Source organism: Homo sapiens, chromosome 2 (genome assembly GCF_000001405.40).
Source record: "Homo sapiens chromosome 2, GRCh38.p14 Primary Assembly".
NCBI lineage: Eukaryota > Metazoa > Chordata > Mammalia > Primates > Hominidae > Homo > Homo sapiens.
Genome location: NC_000002.12, coordinates 30,287,421 through 30,311,617, shown reverse-complemented (window position 1 = coordinate 30,311,617; position 24,197 = coordinate 30,287,421). Strand labels below are relative to the sequence as shown.

The 24,197-nt window shown below is 47.2% G+C and overlaps 1 long non-coding RNA gene across 1 annotated transcript, besides 9 other annotated features; it reads left to right on the top strand.

The window, feature by feature from the left end:
• Nucleotides 8,011-8,691: an enhancer, noted in NCBI's record as "H3K4me1 hESC enhancer chr2:30525793-30526473 (GRCh37/hg19 assembly coordinates)". NCBI's record gives its function as "activates a minimal SCP1, AML or CMV promoter by ChIP-STARR-seq in naive and primed H9 embryonic stem cells {active_cell/tissue: H9 hESC(naive and primed)}" and the evidence as "EXISTENCE:reporter gene assay evidence [ECO:0000049][PMID:30033119]".
• Nucleotides 8,692-9,374: an enhancer, noted in NCBI's record as "H3K27ac-H3K4me1 hESC enhancer chr2:30525110-30525792 (GRCh37/hg19 assembly coordinates)". NCBI's record gives its function as "activates a minimal SCP1, AML or CMV promoter by ChIP-STARR-seq in primed H9 embryonic stem cells {active_cell/tissue: H9 hESC(primed)}" and the evidence as "EXISTENCE:reporter gene assay evidence [ECO:0000049][PMID:30033119]".
• Nucleotides 9,375-10,056: an enhancer, noted in NCBI's record as "OCT4-NANOG-H3K27ac-H3K4me1 hESC enhancer chr2:30524428-30525109 (GRCh37/hg19 assembly coordinates)". NCBI's record gives its function as "activates a minimal SCP1, AML or CMV promoter by ChIP-STARR-seq in primed H9 embryonic stem cells {active_cell/tissue: H9 hESC(primed)}" and the evidence as "EXISTENCE:reporter gene assay evidence [ECO:0000049][PMID:30033119]".
• Nucleotides 10,057-10,739: an enhancer, noted in NCBI's record as "OCT4-NANOG-H3K27ac-H3K4me1 hESC enhancer chr2:30523745-30524427 (GRCh37/hg19 assembly coordinates)". NCBI's record gives its function as "activates a minimal SCP1, AML or CMV promoter by ChIP-STARR-seq in primed H9 embryonic stem cells {active_cell/tissue: H9 hESC(primed)}" and the evidence as "EXISTENCE:reporter gene assay evidence [ECO:0000049][PMID:30033119]".
• On the top strand, nt 10,922-18,583 carry LOC102723594 (uncharacterized). The gene is made up of 3 exons (XR_427017.4): nt 10,922-11,341; nt 15,157-15,325; nt 17,788-18,583. It is a non-coding gene; the product is annotated as an uncharacterized LOC102723594 (long non-coding RNA).
• Nucleotides 17,129-17,299: a silencer, noted in NCBI's record as "fragment chr2:30517185-30517355 (GRCh37/hg19 assembly coordinates)". NCBI's record gives its function as "represses an EF-1alpha promoter that drives an FKBP-Casp9 reporter gene in an ReSE screen in phorbol 12-myristate 13-acetate-treated (for megakaryocytic differentiation) K562 erythroleukemia cells {active_cell/tissue: K562(+PMA)}" and the evidence as "EXISTENCE:reporter gene assay evidence [ECO:0000049][PMID:32094911]".
• Nucleotides 17,793-17,842: an enhancer, noted in NCBI's record as "active region_15537". NCBI's record gives its function as "activates an Ori minimal core promoter by ATAC-STARR-seq in GM12878 lymphoblastoid cells {active_cell/tissue: GM12878}" and the evidence as "EXISTENCE:reporter gene assay evidence [ECO:0000049][PMID:35858748]".
• Nucleotides 18,013-18,072: an enhancer, noted in NCBI's record as "active region_15536". NCBI's record gives its function as "activates an Ori minimal core promoter by ATAC-STARR-seq in GM12878 lymphoblastoid cells {active_cell/tissue: GM12878}" and the evidence as "EXISTENCE:reporter gene assay evidence [ECO:0000049][PMID:35858748]".
• Nucleotides 22,056-22,564: an enhancer, noted in NCBI's record as "NANOG hESC enhancer chr2:30511920-30512428 (GRCh37/hg19 assembly coordinates)". NCBI's record gives its function as "activates a minimal SCP1, AML or CMV promoter by ChIP-STARR-seq in naive H9 embryonic stem cells {active_cell/tissue: H9 hESC(naive)}" and the evidence as "EXISTENCE:reporter gene assay evidence [ECO:0000049][PMID:30033119]".
• Nucleotides 23,456-23,505: an enhancer, noted in NCBI's record as "active region_15535". NCBI's record gives its function as "activates an Ori minimal core promoter by ATAC-STARR-seq in GM12878 lymphoblastoid cells {active_cell/tissue: GM12878}" and the evidence as "EXISTENCE:reporter gene assay evidence [ECO:0000049][PMID:35858748]".

Here is a 24,197-nt window from a genome sequence, read left to right as displayed (position 1 = left end):
AAATTGGACTAACTAGCTTAGCTATTAGGATGACATCCTCCAGTGTAGGCCCTTTCTATGGGGAGAAAATGAAGACACCCCATTACCAGCTGCCCTCCCAAATGACCCACATAGCATTTCTAGGGTATACCTGACACTTGACCCACCAGAGGCTTCCAGGAACCCAGTGAAAGCAAGCAAGCAGGCCTGCATGGGCTGGGCCAGAGAGGGGCCACCCTGGGTGACAATCATGCTTTCCCTTGGCCCCTTGTCCTTGTTACGTATATCCAGTTCAGAGGGACCTTGGTGTCCCTCTTAGAGGAACCTGGGCAGCATTTTGGATACAACATCCAGAAAGTGAAACCACTGCCTCCATGTGGGTGTACTGTGAGGTGTGATCCCCTCTGTGGAGCTCCTAGGCAGGAGGGCTCCCCTCACCACCCGCTGCCCTGCCACGCCCCCTCCTCCCTCTCATTTTCCTGTGCTCTTTGCAGCAGCCACTTGCTACTCAACAGCTGTGACTTTCTGCCTGCTTTCTGTTCTGCTCGGCTGTGGCTAATTTTACTGCCCCCACCTGCACCCCAGGTCCTTGCTCTGGGGCCTGCCCATCTTTGCCTTTACTCGCCCCAGCCAGCCCACCAGAGCTGATGTTCACAGGCTCCTGCATCCCCTCCCGCCCCTCATGAGAGCTCACCCTGCCAACCCGGAGCAGCAAGCAAGCAAGACTTAAGCAAGATACACTTCTTTTTCTTTTTAAGCCAATTTTTATTGTGATAGAACTCACATTTTTTAAAAAGGGGGCTGAGGTGCTTGGTGCAGTGGCTTATGTCTGTAATCCCAGTATTTTGAGAGGCCAATGCAGGAGGATCACTTGAGCCCAGGAGTTTTAGACCAGCGTGGGAAACAGAGCGAGACTCCCTGTGTACAAAAAATTTAAAAACTAGCTGGGCGTGGTGGCATGTGCCTGTAGTCCTAGCTACGTGGGAGGCTGAGGTAGGAGGATCCCTTGAGCCTAGGAGTTTGAGGCTGCTCCCTGCAGGGCGTGGCCTATTTGGAACAAGACACTCAGTCATTATGTGTTGGGTGGATAAGGAATTGAAATGCCTCTGTATCTCTATTATCAGCAACTTTGAGCCATTTTCAGGGTTGTGTCTCCCTCTAAATATAAGCTGCTGATAACAATTCCTTTTGAATCTGCACATAAGTTTTCTGTATGGTGTCCATATTGTTTCACTCAGCCCTTAGGTGCCTCAAATTTTCATGATCATCTCTAGGTCACCAAGGTAGAAATACTGTGGTCAGTTATTTCAAAGGACATTTCAGAATGTAGTTGGTCATCCTGGGAAGGGTAGTAGACAATAGAGCTTGCAGCTGTGTGTGGTGGTTCATGACTGTAATCCCAGCACTTTCGGAGGCTGAGGCAGGTGGATCACTTAAGGCCAAGAGTTTGAGACCAGCCTGGGCAACATGGTGAAACCCTGTCTCTACAGAAAAACACAAAAATTAGCCAGGCATGGTGGTGCATTCCTGTAGTTCCAGCTACTTGGGAGGCTGAGGTAGGAAGATTGCTTGAGCCTAGGAGGCAGAAGTTGTGAGTGAGCTGAGATCGCGCCACTACACTCCAGCCTGGGCGACAGAGCCAGACCCTGTCTCAAAAAAAGAAACAAAAAAACAGCACAGAGCTTGGCACAGGGATGTGAATACTATGGTGGGCAGGAGTGAAAGCAGGACTCAGACCCAGAAGATAAGATTGTGGAGGTGGGGTCTGGCTGTGGACTGAAGCCAAGGAGGACTCAGAGTGATGGTGTTGGCCTCCTGGGACCAGGAAGCTGGGGACAGAGGCTCAGGCTCAGGCTGAAGTCACAACCAAACACAGAGCTCTAGGACCTAGAACCAGGGCAGCCTGGAAAACCAGGCTGCAGCAGAACAGGAGAGGCAGGAGTCAGACCATGGCCAGAAGGGAGCTGCTGATTCTGAGGCTAACAGAGACCAGGAAGATTCTTCAACTACGGATTTTAAAAAGGCCCTGATGGCCGGAGTTAGTGGCTCATGACTGTAATGCCAGCACTTTGGGAGGCCAAGGTGTGTGGATCGCCTGAGGTCAGGAGTTCGAGACCAGCCTGGCAAACATGCTGAACCCCTGTCCCTACTAAAAATACAAAAATTAGCCGGGTGTGGTGGTGGACGCCTATAATCCCAGCTACCTGGGAGGCTCAGACAGGAGAATCGCTTGAACCAGGAGGTGAAGTTTGCAGTGAGCTGAGATCATGCTACTGCACTTCAGCCTGGGCAACAAAGCAAGACTCCTTCTCAAAAAAAATTAAATAAATAAATAAAAAGGCCCCGAGGACACCTTCTGGGCCAGAACCAAGATCTCCTACTACCGCTGCTTGGACCAGCCACTTGGCTCCTGCAGGAGGGTGGCCAGTCTGGGAAGAAGATTTACAGCTTGCCAAGCAAGCCAAAAGGTTGGGGGGAAGGAAAATGACCAAGAGGGGCCACAGATATTAGGCCACATTTTAGCCTCACTTTCCACAAAATGCCTAGCACAGTTCTTGTCAAATGAAAGGTGTTCATCAAGCGTTCATTCTCCTCCACCCAGAGTTGATGCTGGCCTGGGAGGGCTGACACTGAGTCTGGGGCATCCACTGTCTGCTGGGGTAGTCCCTCCCATACTGCCTCCATAGTACCTTCTCTCACCTTGTCGGGCTTAGGAGGAGAGGTGGTCAGGAGTGGGAGACTGACCTTCACTGGCCTATGGCCTGTCCTATCACCCTGCTCAAGATGGTCCTTAGGAGTGGGGGCATGGCGTGGCTGCCCATCCAAATTGTGTGATTTGAGAGTCAGGAAGGCCAAGGCCCAGATGACCTGCTCCTCCTGGGTGCCATGGATTTGGAAATGGCCCCATTACAGAATCAAGAAAAGCAGGGAGCTGGGTGCGGTGACTTAAACCTGTAATCCTAGCTACTCCAGAGGCTGAAATGGGAGGATAACCTGAGGCCAGGAGTTTGAGACCAGCCTGGGCAACATAGCGAGACTCTCTTTTTAAAAAAATAAAATAAAATAAAATAACCAGGCATGGTGTCACAAGCCTGTGGTCCCAGCTACTCAGGAGGCTGAGGTGGGAGGATCACTTGAGTACAGGAAGTCCAGGCTGCAGAGAGCTATCATCACACCACTGCATTGTAGCCTAGGTGACAGAGCCAGACTTTGTCTCTTAAAAAAGAAAAAAAAGAAAAAAGCAGGGATGCTTATTGCCTATGTCATCCTCTAAAGCAAGGATTTCTATGGCAGCATAGACAGGATATAGGCAAGTTTGCATCGATCTTCAAGTATAGGACACTGAGTGGATTCCAGAAATTATGGTGGCGAGGGAGAGGAAAGTGGGGGTGATGAGGGAAACTGAGATAACGTATCTGAGTCTAAGCTTCTCACTGCCTTGTGGCCCATTTTCCAGGCTCATCTAACTTCACTTCACCTTGGCTCTTCTTCCTGAAAATAGTCATACAGACAGCTAATATTTATTGAGCAATTCAGATGCCTGATCCCACTTAATCTTCACATGGCCCTGTGAAGCGAGTACTGTCATTCCTCCCAGTTTGCAGTTCTTCGTCCTAGGTTTATAGCTGGTAAGTGGCAGAGCTGGGGATAGAACCTTAGAGGTCCTGTCCCATAAGCCTTGCTGATATTCATTCATTCATTCATGTATTCATTCATTCCTGTACCAAACATTTACTGAGTCAGGGATTGTGGCATAAATCTAAAGATAAATAATACAGTTCCTGCCCTCAAGGAACTGACAGGCTAGAGAGAGAAACATCTGCATAAGCAAATATTCACACTACATATGATGAGGACTATCCCAGGGCCTTGAACAAATTATTTGTGTTGTCCCTGATGTGAAACCAACTCTCGGAGGTTGCCCGTCTTTGCCCATTCCCAGTCTCTTTCCACAATCTTTTGTCATCCTTCAAGATGCTGAAGTTTGTGCCTGTGACCTCAACTGATCCCCTCTGCCATGCTTCTCCATGTCCTCTGGGCCTGGATGTCCCCCAGCTCCATGTGGCACTGGACATTGGGTGCCTGGTTTCCTGACAGGCCAGAGTAGGGAAGGGGAAGGGCCCTGAGACAGGCCTGGTAAGCCAGTTCTCCTCACAGCTCTCCCTCTGGCCAACAGCTAGGACTTGGACAAGTCACTTAACATCAGGGGACCTCACTTTCCACTTTTTATAAAAGAAAGTGTAGGGTTAGATGCTACTTAAGGTCTGTTCGACTTTAGGTGTTGTGTGAATGGAGCCCGAATCTCCAGCATGGAGTCAGGGCAGAAGGGGAAGGACGAATGGGGTCCTTTCCTGGAACTTCACATCCAGCCCACCTTTTCCTTCCTCCCTGGCCCTAGGCCTCACCCTTGGAAAGCCTGCTTTCCTCCTGCAGCCATGCCACTGATTTCTAGCAGGTGCCACCCTCACTAGGTGTGCTCAGGACCCTGGGTCCACCCTGGGTCCTAACTCACCAACTCCTGACCTTGAGTGATCTCCAAGGTCTACTTCAGCCCCCACATCTCTGGTCCAAATGACGAATTTGGCCACGAATCACTGTGTTAGTTCGTTCTCATGCTGCTATAAAGAAATAACCAAGACTGGGTAATTTATAAAGAGGTTTAATTGACTCACAGTTCCACGTGGCTGGGGAGGCCTCAGCAAACTTATAGTCATGGCAAAAAGGGAAGCAAACACATCCTTCTCCACATGGCAGCAGGAGAGAGAAGAATGAGAGCCCAGCAAAGGGGGAAGCCCCTTATAAACCATCAGATCTCGTGAGAACTTACTCAGTGTCATGAGAATAGCATGGGGGAAACCGTCCCCATGATTCAATTACCTCCCACTGGGTCCCTCCCATGACATGTGGGTATTATGGGAACTACAATTCAAGATGAGATTTAGGTGGAGACTTAACCAAACCATGTTAGTCACCTATGAAAGCAGAGGAAATTTGAGATTCCTAGCAACTGGCCCAGGCTCAGAGCTACTTGAGTGAGCTGGCCGCTTCCCCGATGTGGGGCCAAGACTTCCTTCCCTGCAAACAGATGATCCCAGGTCATGGAGGGAGGCTTGCTGGCTGCACCAGACCCACGCTCACCCTTGTCCTAGGCCCAGGGTTTATTATTTAAGAGTAGCACCCCAAAGAAGGTGCTGTGGATGCTTTTGCTATAGAAAGGCATTTCAGGCGTGAGTGTTTATGGATCAGATGGTTCTTCTTTCTCTCCTCTTACCCCACATAGACTATAGGGAGAAAACTAATTTCTCACTCTCCCTATAGTTTATGTGGGGTAAGAGGAGAGAAAGAAGAACCATCTGATCCATAAACAAAAATTTGCCCATGCACATACCTCCAGCTCAATATCTTCTCCTGATATGACCTTAGGGTATGGAAACTTACAGAGGGGAAGGGACATGTCTCAGGTAATTTAGCCAACAACAGGCCTGGCATAAATTACGCGCTCATGCCTTCACATGCCAAGGTGGGCTTGCTTCAGACTCACTAGGTGTGCTCAGGCCGCTGGTTCTACCCTGGGTCCTAAAACCTGATTAACAGCCTCGGCTTGCTCTCCCACACCCAGCTCTGGACAGCTGGATGGAGCAGCACCTACTCCCCATCCCACAGCAGAGGAGGATCTGGAGCTGGGATCTTGGTGTGAAATGAAGGGTTCTGCCTGGGGAGGTGGCATCTTAGAGGCTTCCACGCCTGGGCCCTGGGCTTTGCTTCCTTTGTGTTCCTGCCATTTGTTTTAGGTCTGTTCTTATAAATGCCTTTTCTGTCAGTGCAAGGAGCGCACAGATGAGGGCACAGCTGTCTCCTGAGTGTCTAGGCTCCTTCGTCAGCCTCAGTGGGCAACCTTCTTCCCAGAACATCTGCTTCAGAGTCACCCTCCTGGAGAAGGAGCCAGTGCTTACCTTTGTGTTATTCTTAAGCATTTATTGAACATCTGCTATACCCAAAGCTCTATAGCAGCCACCTCTCCTTGTGACATAAAAGTAATTTCCTTCTGTAAATATGGATAATGTGCTTATCAGGGCAGAGGCTGTGGCTGTGAACAAGAGAAAAGTCCCCCACAAGGCAAGACCTTGTCCTCTTAAAGCTTCATTCTAGCAGAATGTGAAACTATGATACAGATAGGAAAATAGTAAATATGAAATGACTAAGTTCTCTATCCTTAAGGAGTCATAATCTAGCTGGGAAAATAAAACATGGTGATTGTGTGAGTCAGGGTTCTGCAGAAAAACAAGATATATATAAAAGATGTCTGGCTGGGTGTGATGGCTCATGCCAGTAATCCCAGCAATTTGGGAGGCTGAGGCAGGAGGATCACTTAGGCTCAGGAGCTCCAGACCAGCCCAGGCAACATAGCCAGACCCTATCTCTGGAAAAAAAAAAAAAAAAAGAAAGAAACAAATAAACAAAAACCCAGGATTTCTATGTAAATTGCCTCATGTAATTATGGAAGCTGAGAAGTCCCATACCTGCCATCTGCAAACTAGGCAGCCAGGAAAACTGGTGGTATCATTCAGTAATTCAGTCTGAGTCTGAAGGCCTGAGAACCAAGAAGTCTGATGTCTGAGGGCAGGAGAAAATAGATGTCCCAGCTCAAGGGGAGAGAGAGAGAGAGAGAGAGAGAGAGAGAGAGAGAGAGAGAGAGAGAGAATTCACCCCTTCTCTGCCTTTTTGTTCTATTGGGGGCCTCAAAGATTGGATGACTTTCACCCACATTAGTAAGAGTGATCTACTCTACTAGTTCTACTGGTTCTTTTTTTTTTTTTTTTTTTGAGACAGAGTCTCATTCTGTTGCCCAGGCTGGAGTGCAGTGGTGTGATCTTGGCTCACTGCAACCTCCGCCTCCTGGGTTCAAGTGATTCTCCAGCCTTAGCCTCCCTAGTAGCTGAGACTACAGGCGTGTGCCACCACATCCGGCTAATTTTTGTATTTTTAGTAGAGACCGGGTTTTACCATGTTGGCCAGGCTGGTCTCAAACTCCTGACCTCAAGTAATTCTCCTGCCTCAGCCTCCCAAAGTGCTGGGATTACAGGCATCTGGACAGTCTACTGATTCAATGCTAATCTCTTCGGGAAACACCCTCATGGATACATGCAAAAATCATGTTTTACCAGCTCTCTGGGCATCCCTGAGCCCAGTCAAGTTGAAGTGTAAAACTAACCATCACAGCCGGGCGCGGTGGCTCACGCCTGTAATCCCAGCACTTTGGGAGGCTGAGGCAGGCAGATCACGAGGTCAGGAGATCGAGACCATCCTGGCTAACACGGTGAAACCGTTTCTATTAAAAATACAAAAAACTAGGCGGGCTTGGTGGTGGGCGCCTGTAGTCCCAGCTACTCAGGAGGCTGAGGCAGGAGAATGGCGTAAACCCTGGAGGCGGAGCTTGCCGTGAGCCAAGATGGCACCACTGCACCCCAGCCTGGGCGACAGAGCAAGACTCTGTCTCAAAAAACAAACAAAGAAAACAAAACAAAAAAACAACCATCACAGTAATCAATCAACAATATTTTATCTAAAAGCCATCATCCGTACCTAGCCAGCAGCCCTTTGTTGCTGGGAAGAACAATGGTCACAGGTTCCATTGTTTGTGGTGACAAGGGGAGATGGGGGAGAGAGCTCTGGCGCTCAGGGTCTGGAGCAGGACCACCAAGATGTGCTTCCAGACTTTGTCACGTGCCGGCTGTGAGGTTCGCACAAACCCCTTGACCCTTCTGGGCTTTGGGCTCTTCATCTGCAAAATGGTTTGTCTCATTTCCTGCACTGGGTTTTTATGAGGACAGATAAGTTAATGTACATGAAAACAGTTGGCAAACTATAAATAGCATCAAAATGTCATTATTATTCTTGAAACGAAAGGTCAGTATTTTAAAATAAAATTTTCCAAGTGTGAGGCTAATTCCCTTTGGATTCCCAGAGACTAGAGAGTTCATACGTGATAAGACAAGCACAAGCAGGTGCATCCATGTCGAAAATACTGGGCCAATTTTTCCACCAGGACCTTCAACCAGACCAGGGTGCATTTTAAGTGGAATTTGCCACCACTTACATGGGGGTGATTTCCAAACGGGTTACTGACATTCAAAATCCATCATGAGAATACTATCCCTTTAGCTTATGCTAGATGGGTTTTGTCACCTCTCACCTGAAAATACCCCACCTCGGTGAGAATGAACATTTTTGGGTGCAAGTTGTGGAAAAGCGATTCATTCATTCAACAGCACCTGGTCAGCACCAGGCTCTGGGAACACAAGGTGGTCAAGACGGCCCGTCCTCCGTGCCGATGGAGCTACTGTCCAGTGCTGACCTGAGACATCGAGCCGGCACTCCAAAAGAGGGAACCAGTCTGTGATAAGGGGCAGTCAGGCAGACATGGATACACCAAGAGGAGCGTCTAACCCAGACGTGAGAAATGCTTCCTGGAAGAAGTGCTGTTCAAGCTGGTAGCTGGAGTGAGTTGGAGTCAGCTGGGAGGGATCGGGTGGGAGTGTGGGCTGGACAAGGGAACAGCTCATGCACAGGTGCTGAGGCGAGAGAGTGGGCAGGAGCGGAAAGAAACCTGGGGCCTGGAGGGTGGAGGGCAGGGCTGGTCCGTGCGGAGATGAGGCTGCAGTGAGGCCGGCCTTGAGGGGTCCCGTGTGCTGTGCTAACCAGTTTGAACTTCCTCCTTAGGGAAGGCAACCCTTCATCCCCATTTTCCAGGGACAGTCGTGGTGTATGTCTGTTGCCTCAGCTTAGTGAGGAAGGGCACTGTCTCCTCTTGCTCTTCAAAGCTGCCTGGGTTGGATGATAAATTATTTGGTCACCTATCTCTATTAGGGCATGGAAGGCAGCAGAGTGAGGCCGTGACTGAGGGGTGGAGAGAGAAATTCAGCTGCTTTATCTGTTTGTTGTAGAGGGGCGTGGGCACAGACAGAAGGGTCTCAAAACATTCATGAGATCATTTCTCCCTCCAAGATAACTATTTCTTTAAAAACCCAAGGAATTGATTGAGGTCTCGGCCTTCAGTTTCTTGTGACCACCATTCACCCTGCCAGTCACCCAAAGAAGTTTGAAGATAGAATGTTTTGCCTCTGGAGATTCCAGTCATGAAGTACCGAGAACCAGGAGATGCCAGGAGGACAGGGTGGGAGAGGAGCAGGCGGCAGGCAGGATCTTCCTTCAGCCCAGGTCGGGGAGGAGAGTAGCAAAAATCAACTAACCTAGTTAGGTGTTACCCAAACCCCAGCTACCAACTCCTGTGGGGTTGGACACTGCCATTCTGGGGGACACTCAGGTCTGTTCTCCTGCCTTCCCGTCCTGGAAATTGGCTGGTGTGCAGTTGCCCTAGGACCCGGGGTCTCCTGGGAGCCCATCTCCCCACACCCTCCTCCCAGGAGATGAGGTCTGATATCACAGGAAATGAGAGTTACTCGGCTTAAATGCTTTTTCCAGCCTAGAGTTGGCATTTCTGCCCTGGTTCTGCCTCTCCCACAGTAATTAACTAATTAATTGCCAACAAGGGGGTGATGCAATTATGACACAATGAGCCTGGCTTTTCAGCCTCCCACCCAGGAGCCCCCACGCTCTCTGAATCAAGAGAAGCCAGCCTGTATTATTAAATAAACAGAATTTCCTCGAACTCCCGCATGGTCACTCAGCTGTGTCTAAGGCCTTAGCCTCACCACCTTCCTTGGTCCCAGAGGCCAGGCTGGGGCTGGGTCAGCTTTGAGAGTGAACACTGGACTCTGGAGAAACCCAATAGCTATTGACCACTGTGTGTCCTTAAGAAGTGCCTCTGGCCCGGGATTAGTCACGGAGGCTCCCTGAACTTGTTTCTTCATCAGTAAACAAACCTAACAAGAGCTGATGCGTTAGTGAACGTAGGGCGCTTTGTAATGCACTGCGATCCTTCTACATATATGCAAACTGAGGCCCAGGGGATTAAGTGCCCTGCCTGGGACCACCAGCAAGCAAGTGGAGCCTGGGTCAGCATCCAGGGTGCCTGGGTCCAGACAGCCTTGCCCACAGTGGCTCACTCTGGCTTGCGGGTACCCTCCTGACAGCAGACCCAGAGAATCTCTACTCCAGCTGCCTGGCTCCCCAAGGTGGAGGGCCAGGAGCTCCAGAAGTCAAAGAGCTGGTGGGAGGCTGGGAAACTTCAGAAGTCACACCTGGGGACACTCAGCCTTTAGGGGGGTTCGTGGTGCTGAGGCCCATCACACGGTCCCAGGAGCTTTGAAAGTCCAAGGGAATTACCCTAGGCGGGGGCCTCAGCCATGGTGGGGTTCCAGCCGGCCCCCAGCTTTGTTTTATTATGTGCCTTAGCAACTGCCTCCCTTGTCAACAAGAAGCCTGGGAGGACTGTTTTGTAAAAGCTCTTCCATCCTAGACTCTTGATACCTCAGCTAGGAATCTTCAGACAGAATAATTGTGAAAGCAGCCTTCAGTCAGAGTTCGCCTCCTAGTCTTATGTTTGGTGATGTGTCCCCAGCTATGCTGCAAGGTCGTCCCAGGACAAGCCTTGAGCCATCGGCTTCTCTGAATCCCCAAAGCACTTAACACAGAACTTCAATGGAGCAGTGGCTCAATTATGCTCAGATTATAAATCACAAACTCTGTTTGCATTACAACCGATTTCTTTCCAAATCTTGTCAATGGAATTTCTAAACATGTTAGCATCACTGTAATGATATGCAAGTGCTATTTGGTTCTCAACATTTTTTATTTGACATTATTTTATCTATTACACACTTCAGTGCATAATCCACATACTTGTCATTGTTAATAGCTGCGCCGGATTCCAGGGTCCCAACATACCATCCTTTGTTTAAGCATTCCCTAATTGTTGGGTATTTGGGTTGCCTCCAATGTTTGAACACTATTAATAGTGCTGCTGGGCCACCTGGTTTTTCTCTCCTTTGCCTGGACATGAGGAGATGGGATGGGATGAGGGAGGGAACATTTTCTCTCCTGCATTCCCAGAAAGGCCTATTCTTCACACTACTTCCCTGGGCTGGGAATAACAGAGGCCAATGTCTGCTGTTCTGTCACAGACAGGCTATTATCTCAGACTGTCATTGGGAGACTTCTTATAAGGCCTGTGGTGCCCCAGGAATAAGAGCAAGGCCCTCAGCTGGCTGCACTCAGGGGCTCTGGACTCAGCAGGGCTTTCATGTTGAGCTGTTTGCTGTGAATTTGGCTTTTCCTGTATGTGGCTCTGTTGAACCATCTCATCAGACAGGCCCTGAGGAGAGACCTGATAATATCTCTCCTGTTCCTAGCAGGTCATTTCAAGGTTACACTGGGAATCCCAGAACTTCTGAGCTGAAAGGTAATCTTTCTGTTTAACTAACCGACCTTTCTATTTCACAGCTGAGGACATTGAGGGCCAGAGAGGGAAAGTAACTTTCCCAAGCTCACTCAGCTGTTTTTGGCAGAGCTGGGCTGGGGCCGGGAGGGCCTCCCACCCCCAGGCAGGCGTTAGTGTCACCTGGCTTCCCCAGGGTAGCATGTTTATGGATTGGAATCCTTCTTGAAGTTAAGATACCAATTCTCCGCAAATTGAACTGTAGATGTAACACAATCCCAAGCCAAGGCACAGCAGGATTCTTTGTGGATACAGGCAAGTGAATTCTAACACTTATATGAGAAGGTAAAGCCAAGGCAATTTTGGGAAAGAACAAATTTGGAGACTCACACTACCTGATACTATCAAGCTACAGTCATGCAAACAGTGTGGTATTGGTGAAAGGATAGACAGAATAAAGAGTCTAGAAATAGACACACACAAATATGGTCAATTGATTTTTGGCAAAGATATATAAAGGGAATTCAATGGAAAAAGGACAGTCTTTTTAATAAATGATGTTGGAGAAATTTGATATCCTATGCAAAAACAATTACCCTTGACCTGTGCCTCACGTTATAGAAAAGTGAATTAAAAATAGATCATGGACCTAGATGTAAAGTATGTAACTATAAAACTCTTAGAAGAAAACAGGAGAAAATCGTTGTAATCTTGACTTAAACAAAGAGTTCTTAGATACGACAACCAAACCATGCTCTATAAAAGAAAAACAATAAATTGGACTTTATCAAAATTAAACACCTTTACTCTTGTGAAAGACATTTTAAAGAGAATGAGAAGAAAAGCTGCAAACTGGGGGGAAATACTTGCAGATCACATATCAGACAACAGACATCTAGACTATAAAAAGAACTCGTAAAAGTAAGATCAGAAACAACCAATTTTTAAAAACTAGGCAAGATTTGAAAAGATGCTTCACCAATTAAGATATAGAAATGGCAAACGAATACATGAAAAGATGCTCATTAGTGATTAAGGAAATGCGAATTGGCCGGGCGTGGTGGCTCACGCCTGTAATCCCAGCACTTTGGGAGGCCGAGGTGGGCGGATCACCTGAGGTTGGGAGTTCGAGACCAGCCTGACTAACATAAAGAAACCTCGTCTCTACTAAAAATACAAAATTAGCCAGGCGTAGTGGTGCGTGCCTGTAATCCCAGCTACTCAGGGGGCTGAGGCAGGAGAATCACTTGAACCCGGGAGGCAGAGGTTGCAGTGAGCCGAGATCGTGCCATTGCACTCCAGCCTGGGCAACAAGAGCGAAACTCCGTCTCAAAAAAAAAAAAAAAAAAAGGAAATGCAAATTAAAACCAGAATGAGATACCATCTCATGCCTATTAGGTTGGCTAAAAATACTGACAATACCAAATGCTCACAAGGATGTGAAGAAACTGGAACTCTCATACATTGGTGGTGGGAATACAAAATGGTACAGCCACACTGGAAAATAGTTTGATTATTTCTTATAAAGTAGAATCTATTTACCATACAACACAGCAATCCCACTTCTAGGTATTTCTACCGGAGAAATGAAAACATTCTCCTACCAAAAACTACACCAATATGCATAGCGGCACTACTCATAAGCTCCAACATGTGAAAACAACCCAAATGTCCCTCATTGGATGAGCGGATAAACGAACTGTGGGACGTTCATACAATGGAAACTACTGTGCAGTAAAGAGGAAAAAACTATTCATACAACGACTTAAATGACTCTCAAATGCATGATGCTAAATGAAAGGCCTGTCACAAATCAGAGCTCACTGCTTCCATCCTCCTTCCCCTTTCTTTAAACTCTAAGTGAAAGAAGCCAGTTTCGAAAGGTTACATACTGTGTAATTCCATTTATATGGCATTCTGAAAATGGCAAAATTACAGGAACAGAAAATAGATCAGTGGTTGCACAGAGCTTGGGATGAAGGAAGGGCCTGAATGCAAAGGCATAGCATGAGGAAATGCTTTGTGATATAGGAATTGTTCTTTATCTTGTTAGTAGTGGTGGTTACATGAATCTGTGCTTGTATTAAAACTCAGAGAGGACTCTACATCCAAAGTGACTTCTATTTTATGTAAGTTAAAAACACAAAAAGCTGACAAAATACTTTTGTATCATTAACTTATCTAAGTCTCCTAACTACCCATTAGTGGATCCACTGGACACTTTGAAGAAGGAATGAATTGTTCATTCATTTATTAATTTAAGAGCTATTTATGGGCCCTTACTATGGGCATTTCTCTAGGTACAGGCGCAAAGAAAAGTTTTGATCTCAGAGAGCTCCCATTCCAGCAGGTAATTCTTCTGAATACTGAGTTTCCCCCACCTGTGAGTTTGTAACTTCCCATCTTGACCCTCTCACTGCAGGAAGCTGCCACCTCCCACTGCAGCTTCCCAGTCACCCGGGGCCTGGGCTGCGTGGCCTGTATGGAGGTCAATGCTTGGGCCCTGGAACGCTGCACCAAGCAGCAGGGGAGATGGGTAGCAGCAGCCTTGCCCTGGGTCTGGTACCCAGACTGCCTGGCCACCCACTGTAGGGGTTGCATTTGGCCTAACCTTTCCAACAGATGAAACAGACCCTCTTGACATGGCTCAAGTTCTCCTACTTGCTGTCAGGACTGTTCTGCTGTGAGCTCTGCTCTTTCTCCAGTGATTAGAATCAACACAAATGGGGATAGGGGTGGAGTAAAGAGGGGAATATATGAGCAAGAGTGGGGAGATGAAGGGCAAGGGAGGTGAGCGTGTAAGCAACAGTATACAACACAAAGTACTGTACACATAAAATACAGGGAGGTGAGTGTGTAAGCCACAGTACACACATGAAATACTGTACACATAAAATACAAGGAGGTGAGTGTGTGAGCAGTGGTACACACGTGAAATACTGTACACATGAAGTACAGGGAGGTGAGTGTGTCAGCAATGGTACGCACATGAAATACTGTACACATGAAATACAAGGAGGTGAGTGTGTGAGCAGTGGTACATACATGAAATACTGTACACACAAAATACAGGCAGGTGAGAGTGTGAGCCACAGTACACACATGAAATACTGTACACACAAAATACAGGAAGGTGTGTGAGCCACAGTACATACATGAAATACTGTACACACGAAATGCAGAGAGATGAGTGTGTGAGCAATGGTACACACATGAAATACTGTACACATGAAATACAGGGAGTGAGTGTGTGAGCCACAGTACACACTTGAAATACTGTACACACAAAATATAGGCAGGTGTGTGAGCCACAGTACATACATTTAATACTGTACACACGAAATACAGGGAGGTGAGTGTGTGAGCCACAGTACACACATGAAATACTGTACACACGAAATATTTTGAGTCCTCTAAACAATGTTATAAAACAGATGTTTCTCCCCTATATCCAGGTGGCATAATGGTGACCTGGGGGATTGCATGGCTTGCCCAATTCCCACAGCTAGGAAAAGGGCTAAATCAGGCTTCTAACTCAAGTCTCTGTGCCCCCAGAGCCTGTGCCCTTCCCCATCCCACCCTGCCTCCAGGCTACAGGAGCCACAGGCCCAAGTTCATGGGCAGGCAGCCAAGCTTCCCCCTTGGAAATGCCCTGGCTTCACCTGGGTGCTCCAGCTCCCAGACAAGACTTAGTGGAGACAGGGTGTTCAGAGTTAGAACCCACAGAGTCTGGGTTCTAACTCACATGGCTTTGGGCAAAGAGCATGTTCCTTCCTTACCTCCCTCTCCAGGAACATCAGAGGGGGTAATTTAAGAGCCTCCCTCCTGTCTTTCCACAGTGTGGTAGGCAATGACCCCGATATCTGCTAAAAGCTGCAAGATGGTCCTGATAAATTTCATTCTGGGTTGGCCCTCAGGCCACCTAACAGAGTGCTTCAGCACACATCCTGGAGGCCCTGACCTTCCTGTATCCAGACCCAGCCTTGACTCTGGATCCACAAAGAATGTGTGAGTATCACGTTGGAGGCTCCTAAGGGGGCCACTGCTAAAGTCCCACTGCAGAGAGGACCAAGGCCAGGAGCACAGTGGGTGAAAGGGAAGGGCCTGGGTGAAAAGACCTCTTCAAGCCCTGCAGGGTGGGCCGGGGGCTCCCAGAGGCAGGCAGGCGTGCTCCTCCAGTCTGTTTCCCCAGTCAGTGAAGCCTCTGGTTGAGCTCATGACATGGCAGCATCTTCTGAGGCCCAGAGGAAACCTGCCTTAACTCTTGGGCAAAGGGATCCTTTCTAGAAGACAGAGGGGGGTTTGAGATAATGATGGTCTCAGGGACAGGGTTTCAGGCACCTAATGTCCTAAGGGAGTCAGAGAATAGGTGGGAATCACTGTCGGGGTTGGGGAGTAGCAAAAGTGACAGTAAGTGTTGACTGTGAAGAGTGATGGGGCTGGGTGACCAGAAGTAGGAAACTGGTTTGGGATATGATGAGCTTTCTCTTCAAATAATCTCATCAATCTTTTATTCTTTAATTCATAGTACCCCCCACGCCCCTGCCTTTTCTCCTTTTCCCCTTTTTGCCTTTGTTAGATGCCCAGGCACGCCACAGTACCAGGCGTTATCAGTACCAGCTCACACTCCTTTCCTTATTTGGAAAGAGGACTCACTTTTTAGCTCACTACAGACACCCCTCCCCCTTCCCCTCCACTTTCTTTTATGTGCCCACCTTATCTAAAAAAATCAAATGTTTAGCCAACCGGGATTAGTTTAGATTGTACGACCTGACCCTGGCCAATAGGGAAAGGGTATAGGGGCAGGACTTGCATCAGGAATAAAGGCTCTTGTGCCCCTTCCTACAGGTGTGCTTTCATGGCGACTGGCCAAGGAGGCACCCCTCTGCGCAGAAGTAAAATTTCTTTGCTAAGAATCCTTTGTTCAAGTGTTCAATTTCCTTAGGATTTTGAGCGTTATTCCTAACACTGGCAGGGATGTATGGTCGGGAAGGAGACATGGGGACCCTGCTGGGGTCTGGGGCCCAGGGGCATTTCTCCACAACTTGAAGGGATTGACCCCAAAAAACCAAGCTCAAGGCACTAAGGGGCTGGAGAACTCATGAGATGGCCCAAACTAAAGGGACACCAGATTGGTCCCCTGGGGCCGGAGGGGCTATGGGGTGAAGGCTTGGTCATGGGAGTCATCTCTAGTGCTTGCCCTAGAACAGAAGATCACAGAGCAGCTTGGATAAAGCTGACTTGGGGTTACAGCCCTAGAACCAGGACGGACCTCATAGCCAGGAGCGGTGGTTCGAGGCCTGCAGAGGCCCAGGGTCCCTGCTGGGGAATGGAGTGAGGGAGTGAGGCAGGGATCTGGGGATGACAGGACACAGCCAGCATTGAGGAATGCCTTGTGTTGTAGGAGCCGGGGAGTGCGACATTGGAGTGGGACATTACTAGCTGTATGGCCTGTACAAGGGCCCACACCTTCCTCCCCTTGTCCAGGTCTCCTATCTATAGAATGGGGGTGAGAAAACCAATCTCTAAAGTTTCTTGCTTGGTTGGGCATGGTGGCTTACACCTGTAATCCCAGCACTTTGGGAGGCCAAGGGGAGAGGATTGCTTGAGCCCAGGGTTTCGAGACCAGCCTGGGCAACAGAGTGAGACCATGTCTCAATAAAAAATAAAAATAAAAAAAGTTTCTTATGAGAATTAAATGACAATAACACACAAAGTGCCTAATACATAGTGGGTGTTGGGAGGAAAAGGGGTCTAATTTGTTCAATTGTCATCTGCCATGGAGGTAGAAGGAAAAGTGTAGGCCAGAGGTTATCAAACTTGGCTGAAAATCACAATCAACTGGGGGGCTTGTCAACCCAGTTTGCCATTGCCCGCCCCTGGAATTTCTGTCTGTAGCTCTGGGTGGGTCCTGAGATCATTTCTAACAAGTTTCTACTGCTGCCGCTGCTGCTGCTGCTGGCCTGAAGACCACATTCTGAGAACCCCTGATGTAAATACGAAGAGGGTCAGCCCACTTTTGAGTGGCGGAAAATTGTGGTTCTACCACTTTCTAGTTCTGGGGCCTTGAACAATTTACTTAACTTCATTGTGGCTTAGTTTCTTCACTTATAAAATAAAGATAATTGTGCCTTGGGATTATCGTAGGGTGTTATAAAGATGAAATGAGTTAACAAATGTGTAAATGGTTTGGAAGAGTATCCGATAAAATGTAAACACTCAAAAATGTTAGCTCTTAGTATATGGTAGGCCCTTGAAAAATACATTATCTCAATTGTCAAAAGATCAGCAGCAGCAGTTAATATTATCATCTCCATTTTACGGCTGAAGAAGTGTAAGCTCAGAAAGATGAGATCTACTATGCAACTAGGGAACCCAGGCTGCCATCTGAACCCAGATCTTCCAGCTCCATAGTTAGGGCTGTTACAAATCAAGTCTCACTGCTTCCTTCCTCTTTTTTTTCCTTTAAGCTCTGAGAGTGGATGATTCGGCCCTTAAGCCTGAGAGGCTGAGAGTGGGTAGGGCTCAGTGCCTGGAGCAGGGAAGAGTGGAGGAGGAAGCTCAGGAGGAAGTTTGCCTGGGAACCTGGCACAAATGTTACTCAGGATGCACAGTGGGGATATTTTCGTGTGTTCAGAGGGCAGATATGCGGATGACTCAACGTTTTGCCCACGTAGTGCCTCTTGTTGCTTGGCTGCCTTAGCTGATTGAAGTCATCAGTGGATAATGTAGCAGGTGCAAATGAATTGGCTACTGATGGTTTATACAACCCTGGAGGACGCCCCTACTCTCGGCCTAATATGGACAGAAAATACAGTTATTGGACTACAGCATCAAAATACTACAGCCCTGTGGACGATGAATCAGAGCATCTCCCTCACCCACAGAGACCACAGTGTTCCACAAGAAGGGAAGATCTGCAGTAGCAATTCCTGCGGCGGGGGGAGGCTTCGTGTCTCCCCGTCCTAATTGCTGTCAGTTGCCCTGCACTGAGTGCTCACGAACAAGGAAGGAGGCACTGCGTGTGGTCATCCCAACTCCTCACAGCTGCTGAAGAGAAAACTCTCATCCATATATGGTGTTCAATGGGTTTATATGTTGATGACTCCCATCATGTATTTGCAGCCCAAATTCTGACTCTTCTGTCCTCTGTCTAGAAGATATATCTATCTATGTGTCCTTTACACTCCCTGGATTCACCATGGCCAAACCTCCTTTGAGATGAAGTCTCAATCTGTTGCCCAGGCTGTAGTGCAGTGGCGGGATCTCGGCTCATTGCAATCTCTGCTTCCCAGGTTCAAGTGATTCTTGTGCCTCAGCCTTCTGAGTAGCTGGGATTGCAGGCATGCGCCACCATGCTGGGCTAATTTTTTTTTTTTTTTTTTTTTTTTGACGTGGAGTCTCACTCCTGTCACCCAGGCTGGAGTGCAATGGTATGATCTCGGCTCACAGCAACCTCCACCTCCTGGGTTCAAGCGATTCTCCTGCCTTAGCCTCCCAAGTAGCTGGGATTACAGGCGCCTGCCACCATGCCTGGCTAATTTTTGTATTTTTAGTAGAGATGGGGTTTCACCATGTTGGCCAGGATGGGAGAACTAACCTCAGGCAATCTGCCCACCTCGGCCTCTCAAAGTGCTGGGATTATAGGTGTGAGCAACCGTGCCCTGCCTAATTTTTGTATTTTTAGTAGAGATGAAGTTTCGCCATGTTGGCCAGGCTGGTCTTGAACTGAGCTCCTGACCTCAAGTGATCCGCCCCCTCTCAGCCTCCCAAAGTGTTAGGATTACAGGTGTGAGCCACCACACCTGGCCCAATGTTCCCTTTACTATCCTCTTCCCTCAAACTTTGCTCTTTCTCTGTCCCCACTGTCTCACTTGGTGGTAGCAGCCACTAAGTACCCAATCCAGAGGCTCTGAGAAGACGCTAGGTGTACCTTTTTTTTTTTTTTGAGACAGCTTCTCACTTTGTCACCCAGGCTGGAGTGCAGTGGTGAAGTCATGGCTCACTGCAGCCTCAATCTCCCGAGCTCTGGTGATCTTCCCACCTTAGTCTCCTGAGTAGCTGGGACTACAAGTGCACACCACCACGCCCAGCTAGTTTGTTGCATTTTTTTGTAGAGACAGGGTCTCACTGTATTGCCCAGGCTGGTCTTGAACTCTTGTGCTCAAGTGATCTGTCCACCTCAGCCTCCCAAAGTGCTGGGATTTCAGTTGTAAGCCACCTGGCCTGAGATTTACTTTTTAATTTTAATTAATAGACTATTTTTCAAGAGCAGTTTTAGGTTTATGAAAAATTGAGAAGATGCTGGGCGTGGTGGCTCACGCCTGTAATCCCAGCACTTTGGGAGGCTGAGGCGGGTGGATCACCTGAGGTCAGGAGTTCGAGACCAGCCTGACCGATATGGTTAAACCCCGTCTCTACTAAAAATACAAAAACTAGCTGGGAGTGGGGACAGGTGCCTGTAGTCCCAGCTACTGGGGAGGCTGAGACAGGAGAATTGCTTGAACCCGGGAGGCAGAGGTTGCAGTGAGCCGAGATCATGCCACTGCACTCCAGCCTGGGCGATAGAGCAAGACTCCATCTCAAAAAAAAAACAAACAAACAAAAATTGAGAAGAAAGTATCAATAGCCATATCCCTCCTCCCCACTAGTTTCCCTTATTATTAACCCCTTGGATGAGTATGGTTCATTTGAGTTTGTTACAATTGATAAACCAATATGGACACATTTTTATTAACTGAAGTCTGTATTTACATTAGGGCTCACTCTTTGTGTTGTACTGTTTGTTTGTTTGTTTGTTTGTTTGTTTGTTTGTTGAGATGGAGTCTCGCTCTGTCTCCCAGGCTGGAGTGCAGTGGCACGATCTTGGCTCACTGCAAAGTCCACCTCCCAGGTTCAAGCAATTCCCCTACCTCAGCCTCCCAAGTAACTTGGATTAGAGGCACCCACCACCACACCTAGCTAATTTTTGTATTTTTAGTAGAAACAGGGTTTTGCCATATTGGCCAGGCTAGTCTCGAACTCCTGACCTCAGGTGATCTGCCCACTTCGGCCTCCCAAAGTGCTGGGATTACAGGTGTGAGCCAACATGCCTGGCCTTGTGTTGTACATTCTACATATAGGTTTTGAGAGACATTCTGTATGTTATTGTAATGGTGGGTATATTTAATGCCAAGTTTGTTCCTAAAGCAGATAGTGGCCTTGTAGTGGGGTACACATAGTGTGTCCCCCGAGAAGAGGAGCACTCAGAACATATTTGTCAGTCCCTTCCATCCTTTCTCCCTCTGCCTCAAGGAACACCTACTACCCCAGGTTTGGTTCCTGGTTGGCCCTGACCCCGGCTTGCCTGTGTCAGATGGGAGCTGCCTGTGGTTTGTAGATTAGCCCTTATCTTAAATGCCAAGCTCCAGGTCTGACCTCACACAGAGCTTTGGGCTGATCTGATGATATTTGGTGAGGAACAGATGCACTTCTTGACTATAAGACCTGTGGTTCAGTCTCAGGTCTCACCCTTTGTCAATTTTATGCACTTATTCATTGACTTAGTTTTTACAGCTGGGGCTCCACGACCAGCCCCAGATGATCACAACAGCTGGGAGGCAGAAGTGACTTGGAACAGCTGAAGTCCTAAAAAAGAGCCTTAGGTCTGATTTCCATTCAGTCGTGTTGGCCTCCCTTGCTAGTTAGCTGAGAGGAAGGAGGACTTTCTTTCTACCCACTCCAACTCTCATAAGGCCCCCAGTGATATCTGTGTTGCTGGAGTGGGATGGGGTGAGAGAGGGAGAGGGAGTAGAAAGAGAAACACAAGAAATTCAGGGATTGAGCCATATTCCTGGTCCTCACATTGGCACTACTGAAGGCCTCTGTTAGCCTTTCAACTCTTGGATGCCTCGATGGTTCACTTTAGAAGGAAAAGGGAATGATTTGGAATGCCTGCACTTGTTGCAGGGTGATTTATCCAGGGAAAAGGAATGCACTGTTCACATTTCTTAGCCTTTTTTTCTTTTAATTGAAGTGATGTGAGCAATTAAAATGTTTCCTTCCAAAAAAAGCCCTTTAAAAATTCTATGAAGGTAGCCAGATTTCAATTATGTTCATTATGACTAGATTTAGATGTGTATTTTGTATAATGTAGAGGCATAGGACATCTATGTCATGAACATTCTAGAACCATCCCCAGAAAAATGCAGTTTCATTAGGCACACACATAACATTTGCATGTATGGATGGGGGTGAGTCTTGGATCTTTTGCAGCCCACCTAGTGATGGCCACTAGGATCACAAACTTTAAGAACAGCTCAGTGACCCTAACTTTCATATTCTGATCCTACATTGTGCTAAGGTGTGTGTGAAGTGACCAAATTTAATAGATAATAAAATTACTAGGCTGTGTGCTGCTATCTGGCCAACGCTTGCTTTGGACATCCTTGACAATACCCTCTACCTTGCCTCTTCAAGGGTTTTAACCTCTCCATGACATTGTCCTCTATGGGAGGGCTCATGCACCCCACCCCGCCCAAGAACTTCCCCTTAACATTTTACAAATGCTGTAGAAAAAATTTTGTGTGGCTGGGCGCCGTGGCTCATGCCTGTAATCCCAGCACTTTGGGAGGCCGAGGCAGGTGGATCACTTGAGGTCAGGAGTTCGAGATCAGCCTGGCCAACATGGTGAATCCCGTCTCTACTAAAAGTACAAACATTAGCTGGGCGTACTTAGCTGGGTGTGGTGGTGCACACCTGTAGTCCCAGCTACTTGGGAGGCTGAGGCAGGAGAATCGCCTGAACCCGGGAGGCAGAGTTGCAGTGAGCTGAGATGGTGCCACCGCACTCCAGCCTGGGCGACAGAGCGAGACTCTGACTCAAAAAAAAGAAAAATGGTGTTTCAGTGTAAACCTATGCATTGTCTACAGCAAAGCTGTCAGGGCTATCAGATTCTACTATGCATTGTCTTTGAGCTATTTTGCAAGGCTCTGTAAATTGGAAGTAACCGATAGATATGTAAATTATGTCTTGTCTGATAGTGATTTAATTGACTTCCTCCCCTTTTGGGAAAAAAAGCAATTTAATCTCCATTTGCAATTCATCTCTACATTCCTTCACTCAGTAAGAATTTGTGTGTTTTTGACTTTTCCTTTGAACTATTGCCTGGTTTCTTGGTATCAGGAGTAAATAAATTCTTCAACGTGTACATTTTTATATTTGTATGTGAATCATAATTTTATTCTTTTTCTGAAAAATAACTTTTAATACTATAGTGTCTCTTTCTAACCCTTTAGGAGACTTTTTTTTAGGCTACCATTTGAATTTTGTTAGACTTCATGCCTCTTCTATCCTCACCAATTACCTCTCTTACCCCCTCCCTAGTCCACCCAATTTATTGCTTCTCCTGGATTCCTCTGTTCTTTTACCCTAGACTTGTGCAAAATCAGGCTTGGACATATCCAGGCACTGCTGGAAACCAAATGTTTTGAGGTTGGTTATGTTGTAAATTTCAGCTTCAGCACTGAAGAAATAGAGCCTGGGCATGTTTTGGTATTTAGGATCATTTAAAAGCTGCCTGTTTGGAGACAGAGACCATAGTTAGCATTTTCCCAGCTTTGGAAGGCAGACTTAGGGCTCGCATTTTTTTCAGATGATTTGTAGGACATTAATTGTGCAAATAATTTAACCCTTTGCTTCAGATTTTTTTCCTTTTAAAACAGAGGAGAGTTTAATCCTGAGGAGGAGCTCTGTTGTCGTCAGTGAATGTTTTGGTTTTTTGTTTTCTAATGGCTTCAATTAAGAACTACAACACACCCTGAGTGTGACTTTGCCAATATATTTAGGCTGGCTTATTTCAGTGTGCATGCATGTGTGAAAGACACACAGAAAATAGAGGAAATGAGAGAACACTCTCAAAACTTGCTAAGTGTATAAACTGTGATATTATGTTCATAATTCCCTTTTTCTTCGGCTGTCAGGTTTGAGCCTCAAACATTTTTTATTCCAAGGGAAACAACAGCCCCTGCAAGTAACCCAAGTTCACGGCTTTCCTGGGCCCTTGGAAGCAGGGGAGGCACTCTTTTACTTGGAAGGGTTAATTGAAGACACTTAAGTTTACTCTTGGTCAAATTCACAACCAGGAGAGCTAGAGAGAGAGGAAGTGAATGAGTCTCACTTGTCAAACTTTCCTTTTTGGTTTTTTTTTTTTTTTTAAACTTAACTCTTTCTTTACCCTGGTGTGGACAAAGTGCACTTTAAACCTAAAGGTTTCATGGTTTCAACGTACACTTGATGAACGTTCTTGGATCTCCTGCTAGAAAACATGTTGGTGCATCAAAGAAAAGGGGAAATGATACCTAGCTTATGAAGGAACACTTTCTTCTGAAAATGGAGATGGAAGATGGGTCACAGATTGAGACTAAACATAGTCTCTATGGGCCTAGAGGAAATTTCTCTGGCTAGCTCAGTGAGAGCTGGGGAGGCCATTTCAACATTTTATGAATGAAATTCTTCATCAACACTGTTTCATTAGAGAGACGGACTTGACCCTGGACTAATATAATTGCAGCACTGGAGATATTAATGTAATTTTGAGGCCTCATGTCACATTATAAAAACACAGTGCTATAAAAGACTCTAATTTGCCAAGCTCTACCAGACACCAGATGGTACACTTACAGAGAGAAATTTTTTCCTTGAACAGAAGGTAGTCTGTGATGTCATAAGCAGGAGAAATCACCAATACTCAGGGTCTTGGACACTGACATTCTTTTGAGCTAGCAGAGAAAAAGGCCCACAGATACCCAAAGGGGCAGTGCTAGGTTATGTGGTCCTGACTTTTCTTCTTCCTGCCATCAGCCCCCTGGTAATGAAAGAGAGACTCACAAAAGGGGGATTA